This window comes from Homo sapiens, chromosome X (genome assembly GCF_000001405.40).
Source record: "Homo sapiens chromosome X, GRCh38.p14 Primary Assembly".
Lineage (NCBI taxonomy): Eukaryota > Metazoa > Chordata > Mammalia > Primates > Hominidae > Homo > Homo sapiens.
In genome coordinates, this window is record NC_000023.11 from 61,475,050 (window position 1) to 61,487,247 (window position 12,198).

The 12,198-nt window shown below is 40.8% G+C and overlaps 1 annotated feature.

The window, feature by feature from the left end:
• Positions 1 to 12,198: part of a centromere (Linear centromere model derived predominantly from reads generated in PMID: 17803354. This region does not represent an actual centromere sequence, as long-range ordering of repeats and unmapped WGS contigs is not provided by the model. For details of model production, see http://arxiv.org/abs/1307.0035.) that runs on past both edges of the window.

Genomic DNA, 12,198 nt, shown 5'->3' on the forward strand with positions numbered 1-12,198 from the left:
CACAGAAAAACTAAACTGAAGCATTCTCAGAAACTGCTTTGTGATGTTTGTGTTCGAGCCACAGAGTTTAACATTGCTTTTCATAGAGCAGTTTTGCAATATTCTTTTCACAGAATCTGCAAGTGGACATTTGGAGCGCTTTCAGGCCTGTGGTGGGAAAAGGCCTGAAAGCCTTTTCCTTTATCTTCACAGAAAGACGAGAGAGAAGCATTGTCAGAAACTTCTTTGTGATGATTGCATTCAACTCACAGAGTTGAAGATTCCTTTTGAAACAGCAGTTTCGAAACACTCTTTCTGTGGGATCCGCAAGGGGATATTTGGACCTCTTTGAAGGTTTCGTTGGAAACGGGATAATCTTCACCTAAAAGCTAAACGGAAGCATTCTCAGAAACTTCTTTGGGATGTTTGCATTCACCTCACAGAGTTGAACTTTCCCTTTGATAGCGCAGCTTTGACACACTTTTTCTACAATGTGCAAGTGGCTATTTAGCGGGCTTGGAGGACTGTGTTGGAAAAGGAAATATCTTCTCCTAAAAACGACATAGAAGCATTCTCAGAAACTGCTCTGTGATGATTGCATTCAACTCCCAGGGTTGAACATTCCTTTTGATAGAGCAGTTTGCAAACACTCTTTTTGTAGAATCTGCAAGTGGAGATTTGGACCGCTTTGAGGCCTGTGGTAGTGAAGGAAAGAGCTTCATATAAAAACCAGACGGTAGCACTCTCAGAAAATTCTTTGTGACGATGGAGTTTAACTCAGGGAGCTGAACATTCGTTATGATGGAGCAGTTTCCAAACACACGTTTTGTAGAATCTGCGAGGGGATATTTGGACCTCTCTGAGGATTTCGTTGGAAACGGGATCAACTTCCCATAACTGAACGGAAGCAAACTCAGAACATTCTCTGTGATGTTTGTATTCAACTCACAGAGTTGAACCTTCCTTTGATAGTTCAGGTTTGCAACACCCTTGTAGTAGAATCTGCAAGTGTATATTTTGACCACTTTGTAGCCTTCGTTTGAAACGTCTATATCTTCACATCAAACCTAGACAGAAGCATTCTCAGAAAGTTTTCTGCGATGACTGCATTCAACTCACAGAGTTGAACAATCCTTCTGATGGAGCAGTTTTGAAACCCTCTTTCTTTGGAATCTGCAAGGGGATATGTGGACCTCTTTGAAGATTTCACTGGAAACGGGATCGATCATCTTCACATAAAAACTAAACAGAAGCATTCTCGGAAACTGTTTTGTGATGTTTGTATTCAACTCCCAGAGTTGAACTTTCCTTTTGAAAGAGCAGCTATGAAACACTCTTTTTCGAGAATCTGCAAGTGGACGTTTGGAGGGCTTTGAGGCCTGTGGTGGAAAAGGAAATATCTTCACATAAAAACTAGATAGAAGCATTCTCAGAAACTACTTTGTGAGGATGGCATTCAACTCATGGAGTTGAACAATCCTATTGATAGAGCAGATTGGAATCACTCTTTTTGTAGAATCTGCAAATGGAGATTTGGACTGCTTTGAGGCCTACGGTCGTATAGGAAGGAACTTCAGATAAAAGGCAAACGGAAGCATTCTCAGAATATTCTTTGTGATGATGGAGTTTCACTCACAGAGCTGAACATGCCTTTTGATGGAGCAGTTTCCAAATACACTTTTGGTAGAATCTGCAGGTGGATATTTGGAGCTCTCTGAGGATTTCGTTGGAAACGGGAATAATTTCCCATAACTAAACACAAACACTCTGAGAAAGTTCTTCATGATGAATGCATTTAACTCGCAGAGATGAACCTGCCTTTGAGAGTTCAGGTTCGAAACACACTTTCTGTAGAATCTGCAAGTGGATATTTGGACCACTGGGTGGCCTTCTTTCGAAACGGGTATATGTTCACGTAAAAACTAAAGAGAAGCATTCTCAGAAACTTCTGAGTGATGATTGCATTCAAGTCACACAGTTGAACCCTCCTTTTGATGGAGCAGTTTTGAAACTGTCTTTTTGTAGAATCTGTAAGTGGATACGTGGACCTCTTTGAAGATTTCTTTGGAAACGGGAATATTTCCACAGAAAAACTAAACTGAAGCATTCTCAGAAACCGCTTTGTGATGTTTGTGTTCGAGCCACAGAGTTTAACATTGCTTTTCATAGAGCAGTTTTGAAATATTCTTTTCGCAGAATCTGCAAGTGGACATTTGGAGCGCTTTCAGGCCTGTGGTGGAAAAGGCCTGAAAGCCTTTTCCTTTATCTTCACAGAAAGACGAGAGAGAAGCATTGTCAGAAACTTCTTTGTGATGATTGCATTCAACTCACAGAGTTGAAGATTCCTTTTGAAACAGCAGTTTCGAAACACTCTTTCTGTGGGATCCGCAAGGGGATATTTGGACCTCTTTGAAGGTTTCGTTGGAAACGGGATAATCTTCACCTAAAAGCTAAACGGAAGCATTCTCAGAAACTTCTTTGGGATGTTTGCATTCACCTCACAGAGTTGAACTTTCCCTTTGATAGCGCAGCTTTGACACACTTTTTCTACAATGTGCAAGTGGCTATTTAGCGGGCTTGGAGGACTGTGTTGGAAAAGGAAATATCTTCTCCTAAAAACGACATAGAAGCATTCTCAGAAACTGCTCTGTGATGATTGCATTCAACTCCCAGAGTTGAACATTCCTTTTGATAGAGCAGTTTGCAAACACTCTTTTTGTAGAATCTGCAAGTGGAGATTTGGACCGCTTTGAGGCCTGTGGTAGTGAAGGAAAGAACTTCATATAAAAACCAGACGGTAGCACTCTCAGAAAATTCTTTGTGACGATGGAGTTTAACTCAGGGAGCTGAACATTCGTTATGATGGAGCAGTTTCCAAACACACGTTTTGTAGAATCTGCGAGGGGATATTTGGACCTCTCTGAGGATTTCGTTGGAAACGGGATCAACTTCCCATAACTGAACGGAAGCAAACTCAGAACATTCTTTGTGATGTTTGTATTCAATTCACAGATTTGAACCTTCCTTTGATAGTTCAGGTTTGCAACACCCTTGTAGTAGAATCTGCAAGTGTATATTTTGACCACTTTGTAGCCTTCGTTTGAAACGTCTATATCTTCACATCAAACCTAGACAGAAGCATTCTCAGAAAGTTTTCTGCGATGACTGCATTCAACTCACAGAGTTGAACAATCCTTCTGATGGAGCAGTTTTGAAACCCTCTTTCTTTGGAATCTGCAAGGGGATATGTGGACCTCTTTGAAGATTTCACTGGAAACGGGATCATCTTCACATAAAAACTAAACAGAAGCATTCTCGGAAACTACTTTGTGATGTTTGTATTCAACTCCCAGAGTTGAACTTTCCTTTTGAAAGAGCAGCTATGAAACACTCTTTTTCGAGAATCTGCAAGTGGACGTTTGGAGGGCTTTGAGGCCTGTGGTGGAAAAGGAAATATCTTCACATAAAAACTAGATAGAAGCATTCTCAGAAACGACTTTGTGAGGATGGCATTCAACTCATGGAGTTGAACAATCCTATTGATAGAGCAGATTGGAATCACTCTTTTTGTAGAATCTGCAAATGGAGATTTGGACTGCTTTGAGGCCTACGGTCGTATAGGAAGGAACTTCAGATAAAAGGCAAACGGAAGCATTCTCAGAATATTCTTTGTGATGATGGAGTTTCACTCACAGAGCTGAACATGCCTTTTGATGGAGCAGTTTCCAAATACACTTTTGGTAGAATCTGCAGGTGGATATTTGGAGCTCTCTGAGGATTTCGTTGGAAACGGGAATAATTTCCCATAACTAAACACAAACACTCTGAGAAAGTTCTTCATGATGAATGCATTTAACTCGCAGAGATGAACCTGCCTTTGAGAGTTCAGGTTCGAAACACTCTTTCTGTAGAATCTGCAAGTGGATATTTGGACCACTGGGTGGCCTTCGTTCGAAACGGGTATATGTTCACGTAAAAACTAAAGAGAAGCATTCTCAGAAACTTCTGAGTGATGATTGCATTCAAGTCACACAGTTGAACCCTCCTTTTGATGGAGCAGTTTTGAAACTGTCTTTTTGTAGAATCTGTAAGTGGATACGTGGACCTCTTTGAAGATTTCTTTGGAAACGGGAGTATTTCCACAGAAAATCTAAACTGAAGCATTCTCAGAAACTGCTTTGTGATGTTTGTGTTCGAGCCACAGAGTTTAACATTGCTTTTCATAGAGCAGTTTTGAAATATTCTTTTGGCAGAATCTGCAAGTGGACATTTGGAGCGCTTTCAGGCCTGTGGTGGAAAAGGCCTGAAAGCCTTTTCCTTTATCTTCACAGAAAGACGAGAGAGAAGCATTGTCAGAAACTTCTTTGTGATGATTGCATTCAACTCACAGAGTTGAAGATTCCTTTTGAAACAGCAGTTTCGAAACACTCTTTCTGTGGGATCCACAAGGGGATATTTGGACCTCTTTGAAGGTTTCGTTGGAAACGGGATAATCTTCACCTAAAAGCTAAACGGAAGCATTCTCAGAAACTTCTTTGGGATGTTTGCATTCACCTCACAGAGTTGAACTTTCCCTTTGATAGCGCAGCTTTGACACACTTTTTCTACAATGTGCAAGTGGCTATTTAGCGGGCTTGGAGGACTGTGTTGGAAAAGGAAATATCTTCTCCTAAAAACGACATAGAAGCATTCTCAGAAACTGCTCTGTGATGATTGCATTCAACTCCCAGAGTTGAACATTCCTTTTGATAGAGCAGTTTGCAAACACTCTTTTTGTAGAATCTGCAAGTGGAGATTTGGACCGCTTTGAGGCCTGTGGTAGTGAAGGAAAGAACTTCATATAAAAACCAGACGGTAGCACTCTCAGAAAATTCTTTGTGACGATGGAGTTTAACTCAGGGAGCTGAACATTCGTTATGATGGAGCAGTTTCCAAACACACGTTTTGTAGAATCTGCAAGGGGATATTTTGACCTCTCTGAGGATTTCGTTGGAAACGGGATCAACTTCCCATAACTGAACGGAAGCAAACTCAGAACATTCTTTGTGATGTTTGTATTCAACTCACAGAGTTGAACCTTCCTTTGATAGTTCAGGTTTGCAACACCCTTGTAGTAGAATCTGCAAGTGTATATTTTGACCACTTTGTAGCCTTCATTTGAAACGTCTATATCTTCACATCAAACCTAGACAGAAGCATTCTCAGAAAGTTTTCTGCGATGACTGCATTCAACTCACAGAGTTGAACAATCCTCTGATGGAGCAGTTTTGAAACCCTCTTTCTTTGGAATCTGCAAGGGGATATGTGGACCTCTTTGAAGATTTCACTGGAAACGGGATCATCTTCACATAAAAACTAAACAGAAGCATTCTCGGAAACTACTTTGTGATGTTTGTATTCAACTCCCAGAGTTGAACTTTCCTTTTGAAAGAGCAGCTATGAAACACTCTTTTTCGAGAATCTGCAAGTGGACGTTTGGAGGGCTTTGAGGCCTGTGGTGGAAAAGGAAATATCTTCACACAAAAACCAGATAGAAGCATTCTCAGAAACTACTTTGTGAGGATGGCATTCAACTCATGGAGTTGAACAATCCTATTGATAGAGCAGATTGGAATCACTCTTTTTATAGAATCTGCAAATGGAGATTTGGACTGCTTTGAGGCCTACGGTAGTACAGGAAGGAACTTCATATAAAAGGCAAACGGAAGCATTCTCAGAATATTCTTTGTGATGATGGAGTTTCACTCACAGAGCTGAACATGCCTTTTGATGGAGCAGTTTCCAAATACACTTTTGGTAGAATCTGCAGGTGGATATTTGGAGCTCTCTGAGGATTTCGTTGGAAACGGGAATAATTTCCCATAACTAAACACAAACACTCTGAGAAAGTTCTTCATGATGAATGCATTTAACTCGCAGAGATGAACCTGCCTTTGAGAGTTCAGGTTCGAAACACTCTTTCTGTATAATCTGCAAGTGGATATTTGGACCACTGGGTGGCCTTCGTTCGAAACGGGTATATGTTCACGTAAAAACTAAAGAGAAGCATTCTCAGAAACTTCTGAGTGATGATTGCATTCAAGTCACACAGTTGAACCCTCCTTTTGATGGAGCAGTTTTGAAACTGTCTTTTTGTAGAATCTGTAAGTGGATACGTGGACCTCTTTGAAGATTTCTTTGGAAACGGGAATATTTCCACAGAAAAACTAAACTGAAACATTCTCAGAAACCGCTTTGTGATGTTTGTGTTCCAGCCACAGAGTTTAACATTGCTTTTCATAGAGCAGTTTTGAAATATTCTTTTCGCAGAATCTGCAAGTGGACATTTGGAGCGCTTTCAGGCCTGTGGTGGAAAAGGCCTGAAAGCCTTTTCCTTTATCTTCACAGAAAGACGAGAGAGAAGCATTGTCAGAAACTTCTTTGTGATGATTGCATTCAACTCACAGAGTTGAAGATTCCTTTTGAAACAGCAGTTTTGAAACACTCTTTCTGTGGGATCCGCAAGGGGATATTTGGACCTCTTTGAAGGTTTCGTTGGAAACGGGATAATCTTCACCTAAAAGCTAAACGGAAGCATTCTCAGAAACTTCTTTGGGATGTTTGCATTCACCTCACAGAGTTGAACTTTCCCTTTGATAGCGCAGCTTTGACACACTTTTTCTACAATGTGCAAGTGGCTATTTAGCGGGCTTGGAGGACTGTGTTGGAAAAGGAAATATCTTCTCCTAAAAACGACATAGAAGCATTCTCAGAAACTGCTCTGTGATGATTGCATTCAACTCCCAGAGTTGAACATTCCTTTTGATAGAGCAGTTGGCAAACACTCTTTTTGTAGAATCTGCAAGTGGAGATTTGGACCGCTTTGAGGTCTGTGGTAGTGAAGGAAAGAGCTTCATATAAAAACCAGACGGTAGCACTCTCAGAAAATTCTTTGTGACGATGGAGTTTAACTCAGGGAGCTGAACATTCGTTATGATGGAGCAGTTTCCAAACACACGTTTTGTAGAATCTGCAAGGGGATATTTGGACCTCTCTGAGGATTTCGTTGGAAACGGGATCAACTTCCCATAACTGAACGGAAGCAAACTCAGAACATTCTTTGTGATGTTTGTATTCAACTCACAGAGTTGAACCTTCCTTTGATAGTTCAGGTTTGCAACACCCTTGTAGTAGAATCTGCAAGTGTATATTTTGACCACTTTGTAGCCTTCGTTTGAAACGTCTATATCTTCACATCAAACCTAGACAGAAGCATTCTCAGAAAGTTTTCTGCGATGACTGCATTCAACTCACAGAGTTGAACAATCCTTCTGATGGAGCAGTTTTGAAACCCTCTTTCTTTGGAATCTGCAAGGGGATATGTGGACCTCTTTGAAGATTTCACTGGAAACGGGATCATCTTCACATAAAAACTAAACAGAAGCATTCTCGGAAACTACTTTGTGATGTTTGTATTCAACTGCCAGAGTTGAACTTTCCTTTTGAAAGAGCAGCTATGAAACACTCTTTTTCGAGAATCTGCAAGTGGACGTTTGGAGGGCTTTGAGGCCTGTGGTGGAAAAGGAAATATCTTCACACAAAAACCAGATAGAAGCATTCTCAGAAACTGCTTTGTGAGGATGGCATTCAACTCATGGAGTTGAACAATCCTATTGATAGAGCAGATTGGAATCACTCTTTTTGTAGAATCTGCAAATGGAGATTTGGACTGCTTTGAGGCCTACGGTCGTACAGGAAGGAACTTCATATAAAAGGCAAACGGAAGCATTCTCAGAATATTCTTTGTGATGATGGAGTTTCACTCACAGAGCTGAACATGCCTTTTCATGGAGCAGTTTCCAAATACACTTTTGGTAGAATCTGCAGGTGGATATTTGGAGCTCTCTGAGGATTTCGTTGGAAAAGGGAATAATTTCCCATAACTAAACACAAACACGCTGAGAAAGTTCTTCATGATGAATGCATTGAACTCGCAGAGATGAACCTGCCTTTGAGAGTTCAGGTTCGAAACACTCTTTCTGTAGAATCTGCAAGTGGATATTTGGACCACTGGGTGGCCTTCGTTCGAAACGGCTATATGTTCACGTAAAAACTAAACAGAAGCGTTCTCAGAAACTTCTGAGTGATGATTGCATTCAAGTCACACGGTTGAACCCTCCTTTTGATTGAGCAGTTTTGAAACTGTCTTTTTGTAGAATCTGTAAGTGGATACGTGGACCTCTTTGAAGATTTCTTTCGAAACGGGAATATTTCCACAGAAAAACTAAACTGAAGCATTCTCAGAAACTGCTTTGTGATGTTTGTGTTCGAGCCGCAGAGTTTAACATTGCTTTTCATAGAGCAGTTTTGAAATATTCTTTTGGCAGAATCTGCAAGTGGACATTTGGAGCGCTTTCAGGCCTGTGGTGGAAAAGGCCTGAAAGCCTTTTCCTTTATCTTCACAGAAAGACGAGAGAGAAGCATTGTCAGAAACTTCTTTGTGATGATTGCATTCAACCCACAGAGTTGAAGATTCCTTTTGAAACAGCATTTTCGAAACACTCTTTCTGTGGGATCCGCAATGGGATATTTGGACCTCTTTGAAGATTTCGTTGGAAACGGGATAATCTGCACCTAAAAGCTAAACGGAAGCATTCTCAGAAACTTCTTTGGGATGTTTGCATTCACCTCACAGAGTTGAACTTTCCCTTTGATAGCGCAGCTTCGACACACTGTTTCTACAATGTGCAAGTGGATATTTAGCGGGCTTGGAGGACTGTGTTGGAAAAGGAAATATCTTCTCCTAAAAACGACATAGAAGCATTCTCAGGAACTGCTCTGTGATGATTGCATTCAACTCCCAGAGTTGAACATTCCTTTTGATAGAGCAGTTTGCAAACACTCTTTTTGTAGAATCTGCAAGTGGAGATTTGGACCGCTTTGAGGCCTGTGGTAGTAAAGGAAAGAACTTCATATAAAAACCAGACGGTAGCACTCTCAGAAAATTCTTTGTGACGATGGAGTTTAACTCAGAGAGCTGAACATTCGTTATGATGGAGCAGTTTCCAAACACACGTTTTGTAGAATCTGCAAGGGGATATTTGGACCTCTCTGAGGATTTCGTTGGAAACGGGATCAACTTCCCATAACTGAACGGAAGCAAACTCAGAACATTCTTTGTGATGTTTGCATTCAACTCACAGAGTTGAACCTTCCTTTGATAGTTGAGGTTTGCAACACCCTTGTAGTAGAATCTGCAAGTGTATATTTTGACCACATTGTAGCCTTCGTTTGAAAAGTCTATATCTTCACATCAAACCTAGACAGAAGCATTCTCAGAAAGTTTTCTGCGATGACTGCATTCAACTCACAGAGTTGAACAATCCTTTTGATGGAGCAGTTTTGAAACCCTCTTTCTTTGGAATCTGCAAGGGGATATGTGGACCTCTTTGAAGATTTCACTGGAAACGGGATCATCTTCACATAAGAACTAAACAGAAGCATTCTCGGAAACTACTTTGTGATGTTTGTATTCAACTCCCAGAGTTGAACTTCCCTTTTGAAAGAGCAGCTATGAAACACTCTTTTTCGAGAATCTGCAAGTGGACGTTTGGAGGGCTTTGAGGCCTGTGGTGGAAAAGGAAATATCTTCACATAAAAACTAGATAGAAGCATTCTCAGAAACGACTTTGTGAGGATGGCATTCAACTCATGGAGTTGAACAATCCTATTGATAGAGCAGATTGGAATCACTCTTTTTGTAGAATCTGCAAATGGAGATTTCGACTGCTTTGAGGCCTACGGTCGTATAGGAAGGAACTTCATATAAAAGGCAAACGGAAGCATTCTCAGAATATTCTTTGTGATGATGGAGTTTCACTCACAGAGCTGAACATGCCTGTTGATGGAGCAGTTTCCAAATACACTTTTGGTAGAATCTGCAGGTGGATATTTGGACCTCTCAGAGGATTTCGTTGGAAACGGGAGTAATTTCCCATAACTAAACACAAACACGCTGAGAAAGTTCTTCATGACGAATACATTTAACTTTCAGAGATGATCCTGCCTTTGAGAGTTCATGTTCGAAACACTCTTTCTCTAGAATCTGCAAGTGGATATTTGGACCACTGGGTGGCCTTCGTTCGAAACGGGTATATGTTCACGTAAAAACTAAAGAGAAGCATTCTCAGAAACTTCTGAGTGATGATTGCTTTCAAGTCACACAGTTGAACCCTCCTTTTGATGGAGCAGTTTTGAAACTGTCTTTTTGTAGGATCTGTAAGTGGATACGTGGACCTCTTTGAGGATTTCTTTGGAAACGGGAATATTTCCACAGAAAAACTAAACTGAAGCATTCTCAGAAACTGCTTTGTGATGTTTGTGTTCGAGCCGCAGAGTTTAACATTGCTTTTCATAGAGCAGTTTTGAAATATTCTTTTGGCAGAATCTGCAAGTGGACATTTGGAGCGCTTTCAGGCCTGTGGTGGAAAAGGCCTGAAAGCCTTTTCCTTTATCTTCACAGAAAGATGAGGGAGAAGCATTGTCAGAAACTTCGTGGTGATGATTGCATTCAACTCACAGAGTTGAAGATTCCTTTTGAAACAGCAGTTTCGAAACACTCTTTCTGTGGGATCCGCAAGGGGATATTTGGACCTCTTTGAAGATTTCGTTGGAAACGGGATAATCTTCACCTAAAAGCTGAAAGGAAGCATTCTCAGAAACTTCTTTGGGATGTTTTCACTCTCCTCACAGAGTTGAACTTTCCCTTTGATAGCGCAGCTTTGACACACTTTTTCTACAATGTGCAAGTGGATATTTAGCGGGCTTGGAGGACTGTGTTGGAAAAGGAAATATCTTCTCCTAAAAACGACATAGAAGCATTCTCAGAAACTGCTCTGTGATGATTGCATTCAACTCCCAGAGTTGAACATTCCTTTTGATAGAGCAGTTTGCAAACACTCTTTTTGTAGAATCTGCAAGTGGAGATTTGGACCGCTTTGAGGCCTGTGGTAGTGAAGGAAAGAACTTCATATAAAAACCAGACGGTAGCACTCTCAGAAAATTCTTTGTGACGATGGAGTTTAACTCAGGGAGCTGAACATTCGTTATGATGGAGCAGTTTCCAAACACACGTTTTGTAGAATCTGCGAGGGGATATTTGGACCTCTCTGAGGATTTCGTTGGAAACGGGATCAACATCCCATAACTGAACGGAAGCAAACTCAGAACATTCTCTGTGATGTTTGTATTCAACTCACAGAGTTGAACCTTCCTTTGATAGTTCAGGTTTGCAACACCCTTGTAGTAGAATCTGCAAGTGTATATTTTGACCACTTTGTAGCCTTCGTTTGAAACGTCTATATCTTCACATCAAACCTAGACAGAAGCATTCTCAGAAAGTTTTCTGCGATGACTGCATTCAACTCACAGAGTTGAACAATCCTTCTGATGGAGCAGTTTTGAAACCCTCTTTCTTTGGAATCTGCAAGGGGATATGTGGACCTCTTTGAAGATTTCACTGGAAACGGGATCGATCATCTTCACATAAAAACTAAACAGAAGCATTCTCGGAAACTACTTTGTGATGTTTGTATTCAACTCCCAGAGTTGAACTTTCCTTTTGAAAGAGCAGCTATGAAACACTCTTTTTCGAGAATCTGCAAGTGGACGTTTGGAGGGCTTTGAGGCCTGTGGTGGAAAAGGAAATATCTTCACATAAAAACTAGATAGAAGCATACTCAGAAACGACTTTGTGAGGATGGCATTCAACTCATGGAGTTGAACAATCCTATTGATAGAGCAGATTGGAATCACTCTTTTTGTAGAATCTGCAAATGGAGATTTGGACTGCTTTGAGGCCTACGGTAGTATAGGAAGGAACTTCATATAAAAGGCAAACGGAAGCATTCTCAGAATATTCTTTGTGATGATGGAGTTTCACTCACAGAGCTGAACATGCCTTTTGATGGAGCAGTTTCCAAATACACTTTTGGTAGAATCTGCAGGTGGATATTTGGACCTCTCTGAGGATTTCGTTGGAAACGGCAATAATTTCCCATAACTAAACACAAACACGCTGAGAAAGTTCTTCATGTTGAATGCATTGAACTCGCAGAGATGAACCTGCCTTTGAGAGTTCAGGTTCGAAACACTCTTTCTGTAGAATCTGCAAGTGGATATTTGGACCACTGGGTGGCCTTCGTTCGAAACGGGTATATGTTCACGTAAAAACTAAAGAGA